The sequence below is a fragment of the Homo sapiens genome, chromosome 5, assembly GCF_000001405.40.
Source record: "Homo sapiens chromosome 5, GRCh38.p14 Primary Assembly".
In the NCBI taxonomy this organism is placed as follows: domain Eukaryota; kingdom Metazoa; phylum Chordata; class Mammalia; order Primates; family Hominidae; genus Homo; species Homo sapiens.
Window position 1 is genome coordinate 41,939,882 of NC_000005.10, and position 24,198 is coordinate 41,964,079.

At 36.2% G+C, this 24,198-nt stretch overlaps 1 protein-coding gene and 1 pseudogene across 4 annotated transcripts in view; one reads left to right on the top strand and one right to left on the bottom strand.

Moving 5' to 3' along the window:
- The window catches only part of FBXO4 (F-box protein 4), a 115,124-nt gene that overhangs the window by 14,601 nt on the left and 76,325 nt on the right, over positions 1 to 24,198 (top strand). For 3 of the 4 annotated variants that reach the window (NM_012176.3, NM_001297437.2, XM_011514027.3), the window contains one exon: positions 1,311 to 1,862. The exons of the other annotated variant lie outside the window; for it this stretch is intronic. In NM_012176.3, the coding sequence (NP_036308.1) occupies positions 1,311 to 1,400 (90 nt within the window). In that variant the 3' untranslated portion in view covers positions 1,401 to 1,862. Of the gene's footprint in view, positions 1 to 1,310; positions 1,863 to 24,198 lie in introns of those variants that run through there. 4 annotated transcript variants of the gene reach the window in all.
- RPSAP38 (ribosomal protein SA pseudogene 38) lies at positions 11,359 to 12,205 on the bottom strand (annotated as a pseudogene).

A 24,198-nucleotide genomic window follows, 5' to 3' on the forward strand; every position in this document is an offset into this window, starting at 1 on the left:
CTTTGTTGCTCAGGCTGGAGTGCAGTGGCACGATCACAGCTTGCTGCAACCTCAACCTCTTGGGCTCAGGTGATCCCTCCACCTCAGCCTCCCAGGTACCTGGGACTACAGGTGTGTGCCAGCACACCCAGATAATTTTTTGTATTTTTTGTAGAGATGGGGTTTCTCCATGTTGCCCAGGCTGATCTCGAACTCCTAGGCTCAAACCATCTGCCTGCCTCGGCCTCCCAAAGTGCTGGGATTACAGGTGTGAGCCATCATGCTCAGCCAGGTTGTTTTTTTTTAGATGCCACTATTATGTTTTTTATAATATCAATGTATTATGCTTTATGGATCATCAAAGTTATATGTTCCATCTTATAGTTTATTGCTTTCTAAAATATATTTTATTTATTTTTTTGTGACAGGGTCTCGCTCTCACCCAGGCTGTAGTGCAGTGGTGCAATTTTGGCTCACTCCAACCTCTGCCTCCTGGGTTCAAGTGATTCTCATGCCTCAGCCTCCCAAGTAGCTGGGATTACAGGCATGTGCCACCACACCTGGCTAATTTTTGTATTTTTAGTAGAGACAGGGTTTCACCATGTTGGCCAGGCTGGTCCCGGATTCCTGGCTTCAAGTGATCCACCCGCCATGGCTTCCCAAAGTGCTGGGATTACAGGCATGAGCCACCGTGCCCAGCCCTAAAATACATTTTAATTATGGCATTCTTTCTTCAAACAAAACCTGACATGATAACCCCTGAGTAAAACAGATAAAGAAAAATTAAAGTTGGAAACCTTTTGCGGAAAAAGTAAGAGAATTTTCTTTGTTCCCCTTCCATCTCTTCCCTGGAGCTCCAAAGACTCTTTGGAATGAAGTTTGAAAACTACTAATAAAGTTTCCCCTTCTGAATGGTGGCAATTTTAGCTTTACCATTAGGAGGAGTGGCAGTCTTCAAGACACATTTTTGCAACAGGATGTCACACATATGACTAACTGGGTCACTAAAAAATGTTTTAGTTTTCAAAGTGGATCCTTTGGAGGAATTTTTTCCCCTCATACATGGAAGCAAGTCATGGAAATGGTAGTTCTTTCCATTTCCAAAGCTGAATTCCAAGGCAAATAAACTTTATATTGGTAATAGTTACAAGAGAGATGATCATATTTTTATCTAAGTGCTCTACAAAACAAAACTTGAGCAACTTATCCAAAGTTTATTGGGATTTTTAAAAGTTCTGTTATCTTTTTAGTGTCTAGAAAAATGTCCCTCCTACTCATAAGATTTTGGACTTAGTTTCTTACTAACAACATTCTCTCTTATGTATTCCGAGGTCCAGGATACAGAGGCTGAAACTCTGACTGGTTTTTTGAATGGCATTGAGTGGATTCTTGAAGAAGTGGAATCTAAGCGTGCAAGATGATTCTCTTTTCAGATCTTGGGAACTGAAACCATTTGAAATTTATTACTAAGGTCGTGATGTGAATATTTGCTCAGTCAGCCCACCTTGTCCTGCCTTTTTGCAGATAGGCTTTCATTTGGACAGCTATAACTGCTGTGTTTTTTATATTATTTTTACTCTTTACCATAAATCAATTACAAGAAAAGAGTTTCAGTCCTAGTATTTAGCCCCAAAATGAACCTTTAAACATTTTTTTGGTAATTTTTATATTTTCTGTCTTTTTAAAAATATTAAATTCTGGAAAAAACAAGTTTGTGCCTCTCATTCCCTGAGTTTCTATTCTTTTGGGTATAAAGATTGCCTTAGTGAGAAATAGCAAATTTGCTAAACTTTCTATTCAGTCTTTTCAAGGGTTCATAAGTGGTTATCAGAAAAGAAATTTTTATCTATTCTTAATAAATACACTGCTTAAAGACTGAAAAATGTACTGGAATTGCATTTAATATTATGGCCATACAATCTGTCTTTTATTATGAAACAGTAGAAAGCAAGCTTATATCATATTTAATACTGCTTTAGTGAAAAATAACTTTTCCTGATAGTTCTTACTATTTTCAGATAACTTCGCAAGCTCATAAGATACTAAAGCCAAATTCTATTCCATACTCAGAGTGAAAACTTCCCAGAGACTTGTATGTATCATATTACTTCCTTCCACAAATGGCTTATACTCGGCAGAAGAAACACCCTAATATCTCACTGGAACTCAGCAATTTTAAGATTATAGTAAAAGCCATAAATATCTATATATAGTTTATATAAGTTCCATATTTAAATGTATTTCTGTTTTGGACAGAAAGTTTGTAACATATATTATACATATAATTGTATTTAGTCTCTTTTAGGTCAGTGCTATTACTGTTTTAACCTTTTTGTTGAGGGGGCAGAATTTTGCCTAATGGACTATTGGGTTTAGGAGACCTTCGAGAAAGACCTATGAACATATGGTTTCACATTTGTCAGAATGTTTACTTAGATATTTGTAGTTTTACTATGGTGAGGCATTATTAATATTTCTAATAATAATCCAAAGTTATGATAGAAGAGTGGTTTAATTTATTAAGTACCAATGGAAGCAGAACAATGCTTTTATATCAGCTATCTTTTTTTAAAATGGCATTTCAGTTCTATAATTAAGATATTATATCTGATGAATGGAGAAAATGAAATAGTGTAGTATCAAATTCTAGGTCACTCACCAGATTTAAACTAGTACCTTATGCTCTTTTTTTCTTATAGCACACTCCAGTATTTATAATCTAGATTTTTGTTAAAGCAAGATACATTTATTTTTCTAGTTTTTAGTTTAATTTTCCAGAGTCCCAATCAAATCTTTTTTTCCTCCTCTATACACTATGAAATTTATCTCTCTTATATTAACTCATTTTTGTATGGTCTTTTCCTAGTCCTAATTATCTTTGGATAGGACTTGCTGCATGTCTTGGGGTTCTCCCCACTCTATTTGCAGCATGAGATATAATTTATTATATTTGATCCTTGATGATTTTGACAAGTACATGAGCCATTTGCATTTTAGATGTTTTTCTCCATATAATTATGGGTAACAAAAGAGATTTTTAAAATTACTAATTATGAGGATACTGTAAAATTTACAAAATCTTCAAATGTTGGAGCTAAGACTAAATGCTAGCCTTTATGACAGCTGTGTCAGGCAATGTGTATAATACTTTGTATACATAAACTTTAAATCTCAGAAAAACCTTATAAAGCCACTAGTATTATCCTCATTTTTTAGGTAAAGAAATTGAGACCCAGAGAAAAGAATTCTATTATAATTCAAGTCCATATCATGGTATAGGTAGCAAAGAAGACATTAGACTTGGAGTCCGAAAATCCTCTTATCCAAGTTAAAAAGAGCTACAGGCTATTTTGATGTTTAATTAAAAAATCAATTTCCTGGACTCTAGTGTGGTTCACTAAATTCTCATCAGTGCTATATTAGCATTATCCAGGGATGAACAAACCAAAATTGTTATGCATGCAACCTCTGGAGTTGAGAATGACCTAACCCAAATTTCCACTCTGCCAATTTTTATTGACATGGCCACAAGTAAGTCCCTTAAATTCTGAATCTCAGTTTTCTCATGTACAAAATGAGAACAATAATACCTACCTTGGACATAAGTTTTGCTTTATCAAAAACTGATGTAAGCATCTGCATAAGTACTTCTCTGTGGGAAGGCCTCAACTTCAGTACTAACGTTCTAAGAGTTTTTATGGGTTTTTCAATGTCACTCTCTGAAATGATTATCCTGACATAAAACAACTATTTTATAGGTATGTTTAGATGGTCATATAAAAAGTGTCACTGTTTAATCATATAAACTCTATCGCCACTATTGAAAATTACTTGAAAATTGTGCCTCTATATAGTTTGTGAACTGCATGTGCATATTAATAACTGTTAATGGACTGAATTTTGTTTCCCCAAATTCATATATTGCAGTCCTAACTCCCAGTACACCTCACAATGTGACTGTATTTGGAGACAGGGCCTTCAAAGAGAGAATTAAGGTTAAATGAGGTCATATAGGTGGCCCTAATCCAATAGAAGAGGAAAAGACACAAGGGATGTTTATAGACAGACAAAAGACCACATGAGGACATAGTGAGAAGGTGGCCATCTGCAAGCCAAGGAGAAAAGCCTCAGGAGAAACCAAACCTGTTGACACTTTCATCTTAAACTTCTAGAGTCCAGAATTGTGAGAAAATAAATTTCTGTTGTTTAAGACACTCGGTCTATGGTGTTTCATCATGGCAGCCCTAGCACACTAAAATGGTAACCCAATGCTATTTTGCACTAAAATGGTAACCGAATGCTATTTTGTAACGATCTCAGGCTGTCATTTTGTAGAAATCAAATGGAAGTTCTTATTTAACATATTGAAGCATCCAGTTCTACAACTGCAATTAAAATAAGCGTTTACTAAAAGAATATTTGTTTTACTTATACCTAGAGAAAGTACAATTCTCCATATTGTCAAAATAATTTTTCTAAATCATGACAGATGTGTAGTTCCTCTGTTGAGAAACGTTCAATGGTTCACTATTACCTCTAGGATAAGGCCTAAAATTTCTAGCCTGATAGCACTATAGAAGAGAGAAACTTTCTCAGCCTGTTTGTTATTTTTAGTGACACAGGAAAACTTAGTGTTTGTGAAATTATGATTCTTTACCATCATGATGAATTACAATATCAAACATTACTCATAAATTATTCCTAAATAAGTCAGATAAAAAATGAGACTACATAAATGTTAGAAGTCTTTTCCTTTTACCAAATATTCCATATTTAGCAGTCATAGGAAATGTGAAAATAATAAAGTTCAATTTTTAGTGCGTTCCCACTATATATATGCCAGGTCTTGTGCAGTTTCAGGATAACCAAAACAACAGCAATTTAGAGCCATTAGCACAAATTGCTTCTTCAGCAACTTGCTCTTTTAGCTAAGGTTACGATTGTACTCATGCAGTATTTTGCAATGGCACATAAGTTGATGAAATGTAGTCCACAACCAAGTAGATACTTCACTGGACAGGAAACGAAAGAAGCAAGGGTCTTAACTCCAATTAGCAAAGTTTCTATCTGAAACATTTAAAATGATAGCAGAAGTGATGAGAGTCTGGGGGAGATCTAAGCTTTCTAGGAAGGATTTGACAAGTTGTGTCAAGAGCCTTAGAGCTATTAAATGTTCTAGCCTAATAATTTTATTTCTAAGATCTTATCTTCAGGAAACTGTCATTAACATGCACAAAGCTACAGCTAAAAAGATAGTCAATGAAGCACAATTTCTAATTTATGGTAGCAACATTTTTTTAAAAAAAGTGTAAGAGACCAATCTAAGAAACTTTCAATACAACTATGTAAAGGAATACTATGTGAGCTTTATGAAAGTGATTGTTTATTCTATTTTGTTCCTTGCTTAGTATATATCATTAAGAACAGTGGTTGGAACATAGTAGATGCTTGGTAAATATTTTTAGAATGAATAATGAATAAATGGCTAAATGTGGACATTAAAAATAATGCTTTTAATTACTTAAATACATAAAATATTCACAATCTATTTTTGTAGGGAGACCCCCTGAAACTATTGCTATGGAATAAAGATGAAATGCTCCTGATTATTGTAAATACAAAATTGCATGCAGGGTTGGGTAAAGACAATGCCAGGTTGGACTGCCAGAATGAGACAACAGCACGCGATGTGCTTCCCCCTGCAGAGAGCCTATGAATGGACATGCAGTCAGGGAGGTTTCACATCACCAAGATTCCTATCCCAGAAAAGCCGACGTTCATAGCTCTGGGAATGGAATGCGACCCTTATGGAGAGCCTATAAATGGATATGTGGGGGACGCCTGTCCATATGGATAAGATAGGGCTATATCTCATCTTGCCATGGCTCTTCTAGGCCTCTTTAGGGTTAAGGCATACTCCCTTCTGAAAATTTCTGGTCTAACCGGTTGTCTAGCTTCACAACCTATGGATTGTTTGTAACCAGCTTTTGCTGCAACTGTTACTGCTGATTAATATCTTGCTAATCATAGGTTATGGAAAGACTGTGTTTCTGTTTTAAGGCTCTGTTAGAAATTACTGATGCACACACTATATTGTAAATTCTTATCCCTGTATACTGTACTTCTGCATACAGATGTTATGTTACAGAATTACTTCATCCCCATGTGACCATCTCACCTCATAATCAAATGACCTTAAATCCCTCACTAACCTACCCACGCCCTCACTAAACTTAATAATAAATGCTGGCATATCCAGTGCATTGTTGGCACCATGGGACCAAAAGGTGGTGACACCCCTGGACCCAGCTTTCACTGTCTTGTGTGTGTCTATTATTTCCCGACCTGCCGATCTGCCTGGGAACAAAGAGAGAGCCCCGTTGCATTGCAGGCTGCTGGCCAGATCCCGCAATATATTTTTAAGTAAAAAGCAGATTATAGAATTGTGTTTATAATGTGGCCACTGTCATGTCTATTCACCTGTTATTGTGTTCTCCAGATAAAAGGGCATAAATCACAATTGAAAAATGCATTTGCCTGTTGAGAATCAACATATTAAAACTTTTTTAGCTGGTCGAATAATATGCATCAGCAGAAATCCTTCAAATATGTCAATAGAAAAAGTAGGGCACTCTGCTTGCTGAAAAGCACTTGCCTTGAGTAATTTTCCATTGCAGAAACGATCTATTTCATGACTTTTCAAGACTCCTAGTCAATTAGAAACAAGTAAGCAAGCTTAAACAATTTTACATGCCAAGTGATATCTAAAAATACTCCCCTTGGATCAACTACCATTATGACAAATAACTTCACATAGTTTTTGACTAGCTTTCTTTTACCAAAAAAACAAAAACAAGAAGTCAAGCCTTCCCCCAAACATCCCCACCAAGAATTTCTATCCATAGCATTAAAATTCAAAAATATTTGTTTTGATCAGAAGGTTCAATAGAAGACCCCACACTGTCTCTTCTGCTTTCTTCATTTACTGTCAAACATTGAAATGCAATGGTACAAAAGCATATGGCTTCTTCAAGATTTCAAGTATAGCCACAATGCACCCATAATTTCAATCCCTAAATACTCAGAATCAAAAGTTAATAGACATCATTGCTCACAAGTTTCCAAATAAAGGACCATTTATATTCTGATTTCATCAGGAGACCTTGGATTCACTGCCTAAGCTAATACTATTGTATTGAATAAATAGGTGATACATAATATATTCCAACAGAACACAAAGAGCCCTAGAAAAAAATTGAAATCTTATTGTGTAAGACAGGGATATTTCCTCCTTAGAGACAATAACAAATGAGACTGGGGCAAATGAAAGTACCTGGAATATTTGAGGTACAAAGGAAATGAAAAAAGATCATGATGTATGTTCTTAACTACCTTCATCAATTAAGAGATAAAATCACCTACCTGTCAAAGATGAGAAGGCAGGATTGGGTTTAGGCTGACAGAGGAAGGATTAAAATGAGGCATAGAACAGCTGTTGTGAGAAATATACCAGTATCCAAAGGAGATGAATAGATTGTTAAGTAGAAATGAAGAACCATTTGAATTTGAATAGCAGGAAGCTGAGCAGGTTAGCATGGTTTAGAAATTTCTCAACTAATATTCAGGACTCCAGAAGTGGAAGCCAAGAGTGTATTTTGTGGAAGTTAATCAGGCTTAAGCTTTCACAAGAGGAGCCCAGAGGATTGTCCAGAAGGGAAAGACTGGGGAGTAGTGGGAAAATATCATCAGCCTAGTATAGGCTAGAAGTACATTCAAGCATTAATGGGAGGAGGCAGGAAATTGGGAGAACATGGATAGTAACTAAGCTGCCACTTCTGTAAGATAAAATGAGAGAGGTAGTCATATGTAGGCTGTGGTCAAAGTGAGAAAGCTTATAGTTTAAGGTATTGGAGGATGAGAGTTTTGAGTGATGATAGTTTCTACAGTGTAATCATGGGAGGCTGACATCAATATGATCAGTGCTTTCCTTGAGGCTCAAGAAGTAGGGATCAGGTATCACAAGGGACCCTAACATAAGTGTTGACTCACCCAAGACGGTGATGGGGCAGAGAGAGGCAAGCTACTCAATTAAGTTGGTGTTATTCAATAGAACTCTCTACAGCAATAAAAAAGTTCTGTAGCTGCAATGTCCGATCTGATTAGTCTCTAGCTATTAAGATTTTAAAAGTACTTAGTGCAACTGAGGAACTAAATTTTACATTTTATTTAATTTTAAATGACCTTATTGTTAGCCACATGTGGCTAGTGGCTACAATCTTTTTTTTTTTTTTTTTGAGATGGAGTCTCGCTCATCGCCCAGGCTGGAGTGCAGTGGCGCAAACTCAGCTCACTGCAAGCTCTGCCTCCCAGGTTCACACCATTCTCCTGCCTCAGCCTCCCAAGTAGCTGAGACTACAGGCGGCTGCCACCACGCCCGGCTAATTTTTTGTATTTTTAGTAGAGACGGGGTTTCACCCTGTTAGCCAGGATGGTCTTGAGCTCCTGACCTCGTGATCTGCCCATCTCGGCCTCCCAAAGTACTGGGATTACAGGTGTGACCCACCGCGCCTGGCCACTAGTGGCTACTATCTTAAACAGTGCAGCATCCAGGGAATGTAATATATTTTCTTTGTTTATCATAGTCTATCTTTTAATATTATACTACTTTACATATAACGAATGAACGTTACAGCAGTAGAATTTCCCCTCTCCTCCCTTTGGTGATACCGTTGTCATACAGTTTAATTCTTCATGTATTATAAACACTATGATATATTATTTTGCTTTTATCAGTCAATAATCTTTAAAAGAAATTAAGATAGTCTTTCATATATACTCATATTTTTGCCATTTTTAGCATTCTGTATTTTCTAAGTAGATACAATTTTTTTCTGCTATAATTTCCCTTCAGTGAAAAGAATGCTTCATTTATATTCCTTTTAGTGCAGTTCTGCTGGTAACAAAATCTCGCTGTTTCTGTATGCCTCCAAAAAGCTTATCCACAACTATCAGGTCGGCTTCATCCTGGGGTTGCAAGGCTGGTTCAACATAGGCAAATCAATAAACGTAATCCATCACATAAACAGAACCAATGACAAAAACGACATGATTATCTCAATAGAGGCAGAAAAAGCCTTTGACAAAATTCAACAACTCTTCATGCTAAAACCTCTCGATAAACTAGGTATTGATGGAACATATCTCAAAATAATAAGAGCTATTTATGACAAACGCACAGCCTATATCATACTGAATGGGCAAAAACTGGAAGCATTCCCTTTGAAAACAGGCATAAGACAAGGATGCCCTCTCTCACCACTCCTATTCAACATAGTAATGGAAGTTCTGGCCAGGGCAATCAGGCAAGAGAAAGAAATAAAGGGTATTCAATTAGAAAAGAGGAAGTCAAATTGTCTCTATTTGCAGATGACATGATTGTATGTATGAGTTAGAAAACCTCATCGTCTCAGCCCAAAATCTCCTTAAGCTGATAAGCAACTTCAGCAAAGTCTCAGGATACAAAATCAATGTGCAAAAATCACAAGCATTCTTATACACCAATAACAGACAAACAGCCAAATCATGAGTGAACTCCCATTCACAATTGCTTCAAAGAGAATAAAATACCTAGGAATCCAACTTACAAGGGATGTGAAGGACCTCTTCAAGGAGAACTACAAACCACGGCTCAAGGAAATAAGAGAGGACACAAACAAATGGAAAAATATTCCATGCTCATGGATAGGAAGAATCAATATCGTGAAAATGGCCATACTGCCCAAGGTATTTTACAGATTCAATGCTATCCCAATCAAGCTACCATCGACTTTCTTCACAGATTTGGAAAAAACTACTTTAAAGTTCATATGGAATCAAAAAAGAGCTCACATAGCTAAGACAATCCCAAGCAAAAAGAACAAAGCTGGAAGCATCATGCTACCTGACTTCAAACTATACTACAAGGCTACAGTAACCAAAACAGCATGGTACTGGTACCAAAACAGATATATAGACCAATGGAACAGAACAGAGCCCTCAGAAATAATGCCACATATCTACAACCATCTGATCTTTGACAAACCTGACAAAAACAAGCAATAGGGAAAGGATTCCCTATTTAATAAATGGTGTTGGGAAAACTGGCTAGCTGTATGTAGAAAGCTGAAACTGGATCCCTTCCTTACACCTTATACAAAAATTAACTCAAGATGGATTAAAAACTTAAATGTAAGACCTAAAACCATAAAAACCCTAGAAGAAAACCTAGGCAATACCATTCAGGACATAGGCATGGGTAAAGACTTCATGACGAAAACACCAAAAGCAATGGCAACAAAAGCCAAAATAGACAAATGGGATCTAGTTAAACTAAAGAGCTTCTGCACAGGAAAAGAAACTATCATCAGAGTGAACAGGCCACCTACAGAATGGGACAAAAATTTTGCAATCTATTCATCTGACAAGGGCTAATACCCAGAATCTACAAAGACCTTAGACAAATTTATGAGAAAAAAACAAACAACCCCATCAAAAAGTGGGCAAAGGATAAGATCAGACACTTCTCAAAAGAAGACATTTATGCAGCCAACAAACATGGAAAAAAGCTCATCATCACTGGTCATTAGAGAAATGCAAATCAAAACCACAGTGAGATACCATCTCACGCCAGTTAGAACAGCAATCATTACAGAGTCAGGAAACAACAGATTCTAGAGAGGATGTGGAGAAATAGGAATGCGTTTACACTGTTGGTGGGAGTGTAAATTAGTTCAACCATTGTGGAAGACAGTGTGGTGATTTCTCAAGGATCTAGAACTAGAAATACTATTTGACCCAGCAATCCCATTACTGAGTATATACTCAAAGGATTATAAATCATTCTACTATAAAGACACATGCACACATATGTTTATTGCAGCACTGTTCACAATAGCAAATGCTTGGAACCACCCAAATGCCCATCAATGATAGAATGGATAAATAAAATGTGCCACATATACACCATGGAATACTCTGCAGCCATAAAAAAGGAAGAGTTCATGTCCTTTGCAGGGGCATGGATGAAGTTGGAAACCATCATTCTCAGCAAACTAACACAAGAACAGAAAACCAAACACCACATGTTCTCATTCGTAAGTGGGAGTTGAGCAATGAGAACACATGGACACAGGGAGGTGAACATCACACACCGGGGCCTGTTGGGGGGTAGGGGGCTAAGGGAGGGATAGCATTAGGAGAAATACGTAATGTAGATGACTGGTTGACGGGTGCAGCAAACCACCATGGCAAGTGTATACCTATGTAAGAAACCTGCACGTTCTGCACGTGTACCCCAGAACTTAAAGTATAATGATAAAAATAAAAATGTTGTAAAAAAGGAGAAACTGATGATTTTTTTTCATCAACCTTATTTCCATCTTGCTTAAATGCATGTGGAAGAACAGCTTTAACACTATTCAGCGGTTCTTCCTACCCATTCAGTGGCCTGAGCAGTGGGAGGGCAAACCAGCCTTCGGTGGCAGGCTGAGTGCTCCAGTGTTCAGTAGGTAACTGCTGAATAGGCACAAAGCACACATGCAACCTGCACACCTTCAGGCCATTCTGAAACCTCACACTAAGTAGCAGTGAACTCAGGTGCTGAAGAAGTCTGTTCGCCCTGAAATTCCTCCTTGGTCACAGCTTTTTCAGCAGCAACCTGCTCTTTCTTTTCAATCTTTTCAGGATGTTTGTAGAAGTAGAGATAAGTCATAATCTCCCATGGGTGTTCACAGGAGATGGCGCCAAGCACGTGCATAACTTCTTGGCCACCATCCACCACATCAGGCCCACTGAGTGAGCTGCTGTTGCATGGGGTGGCAATGTCCACATAGCATGGAGGAAAACCTGTGTGACCTAGAGCAATGGTAGACAGGTTAGCATAACATGCCTCTATGAGAGGCTTGTGGTCAGCCCTGGAATCAGTAACCACCAGCAATGTAACTCCTGTAAGGCTGCCTGGATCTGGTTAATGAAGTTTCCAGGAGGAAATGATCATCAACAGGAGTAGCTCCAATGGCAGCAGTAAACTTCAGCACAGCCTGGTGGTCAGTATTCCTGGAGGATATGACACTGACATCAGCAGGGTTTCCAATCACAGCAATGACACGAGCTGCCAGCAGAAGCCTCTAGGTCCTCTTCAGATTTATGATGCAGATGCTATCACTTTTTCTTTTGTAGAGGTACTGTTCCATTTGGAAGTCAAGGATGGTGCCACCTGAGTGGGTTCAAACTACAAGAAATTTGAGGACATTTTCTGTCCTCCTTCATTTTCAGGACATCAAGGGCTCTGAACATTGTGAAAATTTCCCTTTAAGTTATGCCACAAATCTAGAACAACTCCATATGGATCTCTCCACAGTGCAAAGCTGTGGGAAGGTTTTAAACTGAAAATTTAGTATATTTAATAAAGATAGGAGAATTCAGAAGATATATTGATCTATTTCCTCTTGAGTAGGAATTTGTTGTTCGTGCCTTTCAAATAATGTGTCCATTTATAAAAATTGACTAATTTATATAATATATTGGCATGAAGTTGTTTGTAATACCCTTATTACCTTTTTAACAATAGTATAACCCAGTGATTAATATATTTACAATTCAGTAGTTAGTACTATTCAGTTATTACATATGGGTAACCATCAACACAGTCAATTTGAGAACATTTACATCACCTCAAAAAGGAACTTTGTGCCTTTTAGCTGTAAATACCCTATCTTCCCATGTCCTGTCCACTCTCTCCTAGCCCGAGGCAACCACTAATATAGTTTCTGTCTCTATAGACTTACCCATTGTGGACATTTACTGTAAATGAAATCATAAAATATGTAATATTTTATCTGTGTTTTAGTTTAAGTATTTTCTGTTGGCCTCTTTTTGAGTTTACTATTCTTTTCTTCTTTGTCTAGTCTCCTATTATACCTGTCAATTTTAAACAATTTTAGGTGTATTTTTGAGTTCTAAAATTTTCATTTTGTTATTTTTAGTTTCCCTTTCTCTGCTAAAGTTTTTCCTCTCATTAATCATTCTTTCAACTCTATTCTATCAGTTTTTTTCTTTTTTTATGTCATTTTTGTGAATGCTTTCATTGATTATTTTTTCTTTTTCTTCTTATTATACTTTAAGTTTTAGGGTACATGTGCACAATGTGCAGGTTAGTTACATATGTATACATGTGCCATGCTGGTGTGCTGCACCCATTAACTCGTCATTTAGCATTAGGTATATCTCCTAATGCTATCCCTCCCCCGTCCCCCCACCCCACAACAGTCCCCAGAGTGTGATATTCCCCTTCCTGTGTCCATGTGTTCTCATTGTTCAGTTCCCATCTATGAGTGAGAACATGTGGTGTTTGGTTTTTTGTCCTTGCGATAGTTTACTGAGAATGTTGATTTCCAATTTCATCCATGTCCCTACAAAGGACATGAACTCATCATTTTTTATGGCTGCATAGTATTCCGTGGTGTATATGTGCCACATTTTCTTAATCCAGTCTATCATTGTTGGACATTTGGGTTGGTTCCAAGTCTTTGCTATTGTGAATAGTGCCACAATAAACATATGTGTGCACATGTCTTTATAGCAGCATGATTTATAGTCCTTTGGGTGTATACCCAGTAATGGGATGGCTGGGTCAAATGGTATTTCTAGTTCTAGATCCCTGAGGAATCGCCACACTGACTTCCACAATGGTTGAACTAGTTTACAGTCCCACCAACAGTGTAAAAGTGTTCCTATTTCTCCACATCCTCTCCAGCACCTGTTGTTTCCTGACTTTTTAATGATTGCCATTCTAACTGGTGTGAGCTGGTATCTCATTGTGGTTTTGATTTGCATTTCTCTGATGGCCAGTGATGATGAGCATTTTTTCATGTGTCTTTTGGCTGCATAAATGTCTTCTTTTGAGAAGTGTCTGTTCATATCCTTTGCCCACTTTTTGATGGGGTTGTTTGTTTTTTTCTTGTAAATTTGTTGGAGTTCATTGTAGATTCTGGATATTAGCCCTTTGTCAGATGAGTAGGTTGCGAAGAAAACCTGAAGAAAAGTTTAAAATCTCTGAATAAGTAAACTAGCATTCTGGATTCAAGGTTATTAAATTCTAATCTGAAACATTTACTGACAGACCAGTTGGCCCTTCAAAGTGTTGAGGTTAATTACAGAATATGGCTAAAAAGAAAATAAAGCATAGAATTTCAGAGTTGTAACATTCTATCAGGTTCTTCAATATAAAAGTCAAATAATTTTCAGTTCCTACAATTTTTTTTTCGAATACTACAGAGGAAGAAATGCCTAAATTTACCCAAATAGTCTTCTCATTTGAATAAAAAAATTTAAGGAAATATTTAAAACTTACATTATTATTTTTACTTTGAAAGTAAATGGCAAACTTGAAATATTTTAAAGAGTAAAAACTTTATGAGATGCTACTATTAACATTTGTTGTTTAATGTAAGTGATAGAAACAATAACAATTCTATTAGGAATGTTATGCAATTCTCCTTTTTCTACTTCATTGTTATGCAATTTGAAATATGAATTTTCAATTAAGTTGCTTTGCCATCAGACCTGTATAACCACTCTCCTCAAAGCAGCACCCCTGACTGTAGCACTGAATCATATAATCATAATGCATCATCTACAGCTGGCCAATCCCTCCATTCTGAATTTATAGTAAAATAACTTACAGCTATTTGAACAACAGCTAGTGGTCTGGCTTCAAATTTGCAATCAGAAATGTTTGTAAATTACTCGTGTTGCCTTTTGTTACATATTTTTTCAGTGTGCTTTTCAGGAAACAGGATATTACTTTTTATTTAAATCTCTTCATAATTATTGATTGTGATGCATATGTTTAGCTGAAGTGAAGGGGGTATATCAAAAAGGGAGACGTCAGAAATTAATTACAGTTGTTAATTAAGTTGTTAACATTTTCTGCTGAAAGATAAAACATAGACACTAAATATGAAACTGATAGATAATGTGTGTGTCTGTTTCTTCACTTCTAGAGGAATTCTAGAGAAAGCAGGTAAGGCTTTGGTACTTAGAAAAACTATAATTCAAAAATTTCCAAAATATTTGGCATCTAAAAGAGTTTTTAGTTGCTCTATGACACTCCCTCTCCAGAGTAGAAGGTGATCACAGGGAATGCAGGAATGTCTGGTCCTAAAGGAAAGTAGTGTCAGAGAAGAATTTTACAAAGGGCTAAAGAAAGTAGGTAAATGGATAAGTACATGTGTACAGTCAATGTACTTTCACACATCTCTAAGCTTCTGCTTATAGTTTTGCCTATTCACAAAATTCGTACCTTTTATTTATATTATATTCTAAATTCAATATATCATATAGAATCTGGAAAGATATTGGAACTGGCCTAAAGGGAAACATCAGGATTTCAATCATTATGTACAGGTTACATAGATTTAGTATATTTAAAAAAGAATGATACAAAGATTTCTGTTTCCAGTGAAGATGAAGGGTAAATTTGGAGGGAGCAGATTTACCTTACACATAAACAACAAAAAAATGAACAATATTTATGAAACGATTTTCAAGACTTCAAACATCAAGTAATAAAAGATAGTGATTCCTTAAGAGATGTGAAACATGTGATGAGACCTATGAATACCCTAGAGTTTCTAGGTCATAGCAAAAGGAGATAAAACACAGACAAAGCCTGGCAGTCACTCTAAAGTTGAGAAGATAAAACTGGGGATCTGACGAGGCCACAGGAGTTAAAGTTCATAGGGCGGAGTAGACAGAGTATTACAAAAGAGAGTGCTGCCTAGCGAGTGAGCCAGTTCCAGAGATCTTCAGAGTCTCCCTTGCATTTTCAGCTGACTGCTGATCAGTGCATGAGTAGGAGAAAACTACCCAAGGATGAAGAAAGAACCACCAGAAAGAATGAAAGGAAATAATACCTGGGGCTTACACACGGCACCAACCAGCATGGGAAATTTCATAATTCATGTTGAAAGTTCTCAGAAGTGGTTGGCCTCGGTAGTAGAAAAATCAACTCTAGACTCAATACTGCTCTGCTTCTTCCTAGTGACACCTACAAGGAAGACCAGAATGGATTAAAGTTTTTCTAATTAACTTAGCATCCCAGATCAACGTTTAAGAATATTTATAGGATTACAAAAATATTAAGATCTAACAAGATAAAATTCATAGTGTCATCCATTCAGTTAAAAATCACTGTCATACAAAGAAAGATTATAATCTATAAGCAGGAGAAAACCTATCAATAATAAAAACCAATCCAGATGTAATACAGAAGATATAATTATTAGACAAGGACTATAACTATACACCCTATGTTCAAGAAGCTGGAGTAAGGATTGGACACATTAAATAGAAACATAGAAGACAGCAAAAAGGCCCAAATTGGGCTTCTGGACATATAAATTACAATACTTGAAATGAAAAACACACTGGATGTGATTAATGACAGATTAGAGGTTGTAGAAATAAATGATTGTTGAACTTGAAGATGCAGCAAATATATTTTATATCCAAATGAAACAGAGAGAAATTGACTGAAAACATTAAAGAGCATTAGTGAGTGTTTGATATTTCTTATAATGCAGGTCTGCTGGAGATGAAGTAAATTCTTTCAGTTTTCATCTGCTTCCAAAATGCCTTTATTTTGACTTCATTTTTATAGATTTTTTTTGGTTGGATATAGATTTACAGACTAACAGTTTTTCCCCCAGCAATTTAAAGATGATATTTCATTGTTCTGTTTCTTACAATTTTTTTTCTGATAAGAAGTCAGCTGTCATTATTTTTCCTTGTATGTAATTTTTTTTTCTTCTTCTTTTTTTTTTTTTTTTTAAAGATGGTATTTTGCTCTGTCACCCAGGCTGGAGTGCAGTGGCGAGATCTCAGCCCATTGCAACTTCCACCTCTCTGGTCCAAGTGATTCTCCTGCCTCAGCCTCCCAAGTAGCTGGGATTACAGGCACACACCACTGCAAATGGCTAATTTTTGTATTTTAGTAGAGACTGGGTTTCACCATGTTGGCCAGGCTGGTCTCGAACTCCTGACCTTAGGTGATCCACCTGCCTCAGCCTCCCAAAGTGCTGGGATTACAGGCTTAAGCCCCTGCGCCTGGCCTTTTTTTCTTTGATTTCAATATTTTCTAATGATTTCTATATTGTAGGGCTCTCACCATGATGGAGTGAGGTGTGGTTTTCTTTGTATTTACTATTACTAGATTTCATTCAACTTCTAAGATCTGTGGTTGATGTCTTTCATCAGTTTTGGAAAATTGCCATCCATTATTTCTTTCAATATTTATTCTGGTCTATTCTATCTTCTTGTTCTGGGACTCCAACTACACATATGATAACTTATTTGATAATCTATAACAGTTTGGATGTCCTTATTCTTTTCCTTTACAGTTTTTTCTCTTTGTGTTTTAGTCTGAATAATTTATGTTTTCTACAAATTCACTGATTCCTTCCTCTGATTATTAGCATGCTGAATAATTATAATTATTTAATTATGATTATATTATACTTATATAATACGATTTCTATAATTATATAATTATATTATAATTATATTAACTATATTAATAACAATAATTATAATAATCCTTGCTCTGATTATTAGTATGCTGAATATTTAGCATAATGAATCCATCAACATAATTATGTATCTATTATTTCATCTTTCATTTCTAGGATCTTCATCTGGTTCTTTTTCATAGGTTTCAATTCTATGATAAAATTCCCTATGTGTACACTTTTTCCACGAGATCCTTTAATATATTTATCATATTTTAAAGTCCCTCTTTGATAATTTTAACACTTGGGCCATCTTTGGATTGAGATTTGTTGACTTTTTCCTCTCTTGACAATGGATCACATTTTCTTCTTTCTTCCATACCTCATATTTTATATTGGAAATTTGATATTATATATAATAGAACAATACACTGAAGCAAATACATTTACACTCAGAAAAAGGCACATTATTTCTTTTTCAGACAACTAACGTGGAGATATGAGTTAATCTAGTCCATAATTTAGTTGGGTCTGGGCTTGTTTCTTTTTAAAATTTTATGTACTTTTAAATCGATGAGTAAAATTATATATGCTTATGGGGCACAATAAGATGTTTTAATATATATATGCATTGTAGAATGGCTAAATCAAGCTATTTAACATATACGTTATCTCACATACTTATTTTTTATGTTAAGAATTCTTAAATCTAGTCTGTTAACAAATTTTTTTTTTTTTTTTTTTTTGAGACGGAGTCTCGCTCTGTCACCCAGGCTGGAGTGCAGTGGCGCAATCTCAGCTCACTGCAAGCTCCGCCTCCCGGGTTCACGCCATTCTCCTGCCTCAGCCTCCTGAGTAGCTGGGACTATAGGCGCCCGCCACCACACCTGGCTAATTTTTTGTACTTTTAGTAGAGACAGGGTTTCACCATGTTAGCCAGGATGGTCTCGATCTCCTGACCTCGTGATCGCCCACCTTGTCCTCCCAAAGTGCTGGGATTATAGGCGTGAGCAGCCCTGCCAGCCAGCAATTTTTAGGTATACAATAAGTTGTTATTAATTGTAGTAAACATGAGTACAATAGAGCTCTTGAATTCATTCCTCTTGTCTAACCGAAATTTTGTGACCTATGACCAACATCTCCCCAATCTCACCATCCCCCTTCTTCTGGTAACCACCATTTAACTCTGTTTTTATAAATTTGGCTTTTTTACATTCCACATGTAAGTGAGATCATGCAGTATTTGTCTTTCTGCATTTGGCTTATTTCACTTAATATAATGTACTCCAGGTTCATCCATGTTATCACAAATAACAAGATTTCCTTCTTTTCAAAGAATGGAACAGTATTCCATTGTATATACACATAGAATTTTTTTAAATTCGTTTATCTGTTGATGGACTTAGGATGATTTCACATTTTGGCTGTTGTAAATAATGCTGCGACAAATAAGGGAGTGCAAATATCTCTTTGACATACTGATTTCATATCCTTTGGATACAGATCCAGTAGCAGGATTGCTGGATCATATGGTAGTTCTATTTTTATATTTTTAAGGAAACGCCATACTGGTTTTCATAATGACTGTACTAATTTACATTCCAACCAACAACATACAAAAGTTCTTTTCTCTGCATCCTCACCTACATTTGTTATCTTCTTTCTTCTTGATAGTAGCCATTCTAACAGATGTGAGATGATCTCTCACTGTAGTTCTATTTGCATTTCTCTGATTAGTGGTGTTGAGCATTTTTTATACACCCATTAGCCATCCGTATATCTTCTTTTGAGAAATGTCAGTTCAAGTTTTTTGCTCAGTTTCAAGTCAGGTTATTTGTTTTCTTACTATTTAATTGTTTGAGTTTCTTATATCTTTTGGATATTAACTCCTTATGAGATCTATGGTGTTCAGATATTTTCTCCCATCCCATATGTTGTCTCTTTACTCTGTTGACTTTTTTTCTTTGTTTTGCGAAAGTTTTTCACTTTGGTAGAATTCTATTTATCTTCTTGTTGCCTGTGCTTTAGGGCCGTATTTTAAAAAGTCCTTGCCTAGATAAATGCCATGGAGCTTTCCCTCCATTTTTTTCCAGTAGTGTTATAGTTTTTGGTATTATATTTGTCTTTAATCCATTTTAGATCAATTTTTGCATGTGCTTTGAGACGATGGTCTATTTTCATTTTTCTGCATGTGAAAATTCAGTCTTTATTGAAGAAACTCTTCCCTATTGTGAGTTCTTGACATCTTTGCCAAAAATTGACAATAAATATGTGGATTTATTCCTGGACTCTCTATTCTGCTTCATTGGTCAAGGTGTCTATTTTTATGCCAGTACCAGGCTGTTTTAATTACTATAATTCTCTAGTAGATTTTGAAATAAGGTAGTGTGATGCCTCCTGCTTTGTTCTTTTTGCTCAATATTGCTTTGGCTATTCAGTCTTTTGTGGTTTCATATAAATTTTAGGATTTTTTTTCTATTTCTATGAAAAATGTCATTGGAATTTGTATAGGGATTTTTTTGAATGTGTAGATCTCTTTGGGTAGAATGGGCATTTTAAAAACATTAATTCTTCCAATCCATTAACATGGGATATCTTTTTATTTATTTGTGCATTGTTCAATTTTCTTCATTAGCGTATTATAGTTTTCTGTGTACAGATCTTTCACCTTCTTAGGTGAATATATCCCTAAGTATTTTATTTATTTGGTGGCTATAATTAATGGAATTGTTTTCTTGATTTTTTTATTTACAGCTTTTTGTTAACGTGTAGAAATACTACTGATTTCTGTATGTTGATTTTGTATTCTGCAACTTTATTGAATTTATTAGTTTTAACAGTTTTTTTTGGCAGAGTCCTTAGGGTTTTCTATATATAATGTAATCTATGAACAGAAATAATTTAACTTTTTTCTTTCTGATTTGGATGCCTTTATTTTTCTTTTGTCTAGCTTGCTCTGTCTATAAATTCCAGTACTATATTGAACAGAAGTGTCAATAATGAACATTCTTGTCTTACTTCTGATCTTAGAGGAAAAACTTTCAACTTTTCACCATTGAGTACGATATTAGCTGTGGGCTTCTCATATATGGTCTTTATTGTGTTGAGGTACATTTCTTCTATATATCTCATTTGTTGGGAGTTTTATGATGAAAGGATGTTGAATTTTGTTTGTGCCTTTTCTGCACTAATTGAGATGATTATATGGTTTTTGTCCTTTATTCTGTTAATGTATTATATCACATTTATTGTTTGATCATGGTGAATTATTCTGGTGTTGATGTTCTCTATTGCATTTTTCATTTCATTCATTGTGATGTTCAGCTCCAGAATTTCTGTTTGTTTTTGTTTTACAATTTTAATCTCTTTGATAAATTTTTTATTTTGGTCTTTTTTTATTTTATTGTATTATTTCTCTGTATTTTCTTGAAGTTTATGGAATTTCCTTAAAATAATAATTTTGAATTATTTATTAGGCAAGTTTGAATATTTACATTTGGAGTTCATATATCTTCATTGGGGTAGTTACTGAAAAATTGTGTTCTTTTGATGGTGTTATGTCTCCTTGGTTGTTTTGTTTCTTCTTGCCTTCTATTGATGTCTGCAGATTTGGTGGAGTATTCTCCTCTTCCTTACTTTACGTGCTAATTTTTCTGTGGAAAGATCTCTCCCTATAGGGAGGTCAGAGGCCGTTTCTGCGTGGGGTGCAGTGATTTGTCACCAATGGGGTCAAAGCTGTGTATTCACCTCAACATCCCTGTCTGCTGAGGTCAATGTTGATGAAGGTTACAGGCATCTTCAGTGGCCAATGGTGTGGATATCCACAGTGGCAGTGAAAGTCATTGCAGTGTTTGATGGTGATGGCTGCTAAGGTCCTCCCAATCTTTTTTTCTCTCACTGGGGAAGTTGTGGCTGAAGAGATTCCTCTTCACACTGGGTCTACTTTGCAGTCCCACTCAAGTTGGCAGTGGCACTGGTGTCTGATCATGGTGCTCATGGAGTAGTCACTAAGTTGAGGCCTAAAGCATGAGCATGCCTGGAGGGACTATGGTTCTGGAATCCAGAATGATAATGGCACAGGTGTCTAGGGCTCAGGGACCCCTGCTCCCCTGTCAGTAACAGCATGTGATGTGCAGGTGCTTGTGCAGCAGCCATAGAGTTAAGCATGGGAGCACAGGCTTATGCAGAGTTAAAGTGGCTCTGAAGTCAAGGTAGAGACAAGATCCCTATGGTATCTAAGTCAGTACCTGGAATGAAACTATGTGCAGAAAGAGTTTGGCTCTGGGTCCCAGAGTGCTAACTAGCTCAATATGGCTTATGGGCAGGGCACTTGTATGGTTGGGAGAGGTGTCAGCTTCTTGGGTGGTGGAGAAGTGTGCAGACACATCTCCTTTTCTGGCGTTCCTGGACAAGAACAGCTGTTTGTTGCCTTAGTGGCAAAAGTAGCCAGTGTCCCCTATGGAGCTGACTGCTAGGAAACTCAATGGTTCCTGCCATGCAACTGATAGCAACAGCCTTTGTCTTTCTTCTTTGTTCCTTGCTCTCTCCTGGCATCTCAAGTATGCTAATTTCACCAGCAATCTTTTCTATGTGCATATTCCCAATATTTTTGCTCCACTCTGTTGCCACAGACTCTTTAGTGGGCCTTTCAGACTTCTCTGGGATATTTTGGTTTGTGGCTAGCTGTCTGTATTTGTTTATTTGTAGGTGAATGAAGGCTGGTACCTCCTACTCTGCCATTTTGATTATGTTTTGATATATGCATATGAAAGTTTCTTTAGACTTATTTTACCACAGGCTGCAAATAATTTGAGAATGGGATCTGTGCCTTCGTTTTAGCTAGATTTGGGACCTGAGCATCTGAAGGATTTGTTTCCATTTTTTTGTTTTGCTTTCAGTCTTTCTCAGTCCCTGCTTGTCTGCATCTCAGAGGGATTCTTATTAGCTATCCTGCCTTAGCTTCCACCAAAATCAACCAATGCATCAGTGGGGGCCCTGAGTGCCTAGAGAATTTTGTTCAGGTTTTTGTGTTGCCTGAAGACTCCAGCAATCCCCCTACACTTGCATCTCAGAGGAGAGTTTATCTTAGCTTTCCTGCTCTTCTCTTAGCCACAGGTCATCACTGTCTTTTACTCAGTGTAAAGCCCAGAGGGTTTATCTTCGTTCTTATGCCTTGCCCTTAGATTTCATGAGGTCCTGCACACTGTGTGTCAGTGCGGCAAGTCTCTTCCAGTATTCCTGACCCTCTTCCACCAAAGGTAAGTGCCTCCTACCTTGTACTGGGTGTGAAGTTCAAACACTTGAAAGTTTCTCTTAGCATTCCTACCCCGGCCCAATATTTCTCATGAGTACTCTGTGAATGCCTCTGAAAAGTGTTGGCAAGTGGCATACTCTCTGTTCTGGGGACTCCAAATCATCATGCCATCCCACACTTGGTCAATAAAAATTCCTTAAATGTTCATCAGTTTTCTCATTTCCCATTTATCTGACAGCTTTCTCCCTTTTCCACTGATTCACCAAAAATGACAGAAACTGTTAGATTTCTTCACTCCAAAGAGAGGTGTGTAACTTTTTGGATTTTAAGTCATTAGGTTTTATCCCTCATTCTTAGCACTCTGATAAATTTTTTTCAAACCATGACTTTACATATTATCTGGCTGGTTACTGTTGTTAGGTTGGGAATGACATTTTCTTGTGACTTTTTACATTCTAAGCAGAAGGTAATACCTGATAGTTTACATATAAATGATCATTTTTCTCTTTCAACATATATACACACACATATATAATATATATACTATATATACACACACTACACATAATATATATGCTATATATGTTGATTAAAAATGTTTTGAAATTATTCTTTTAGAATATATTGGAGGTATTAATCTTTTTTTTAAATACCTTCGGTGGTAGGAAATCTTTCACTAATTCCAAAATTACATCTGCTCTAAAATAAGAGTGACATTCAAAACCAAGTTTGTAAATAATGGTGGTGATTAATTATGTTTTTTGTACAGTTGACTCTTGAACAACGTGAGGGTTAGGGCTGATCCCCCACATTGTCAAACATCTTTCCCAAAACTTAGCTACTAATAACCTACTTTGACCAGAAGTCTTACTGATAATGTAAACAGTCAATTAACATATATTTTGTATACGTATTTTGTCTTGTATTCTTACAATTAAAAAACTAGAGAAAATAAAATGTTATCAAGAAAATCACAAGAAAGGGAAAATATATTTACTATCCATTAAGTGGAAGTGAATCATCATAAAATTCTTCATCTTCATTGTCTTCATATTGAGTAGGCTAAGGAGGAGCAGGAAGAGGAAGGGTTGGTCTTGATGTCTTGGGGTAGCAGAGATGGAATAAAATCCATGTATATGTGGACCTGTGCAGTTTAAACCTACATGGTTCACAGGTCAACTGTAATGAAATAATTAGAATTTTTTTTTAAAGGCTAGTCAACTGAAGCAGTGAGTGTGGAAAAAGAACAAATAAATCTGCAACTGGTTGTGATCGGTTAGTTGTAAACACCATTGCACTCAGAGCAGTCAGGATGATTTTTTATGCTTCTTCTAGGTACCTTTTGAAGGCAATATTACACAAGCAATTCAAAATTGATTTTGAGTGATGGCAGCATCATTGAAATAAGGAAATTCCTCT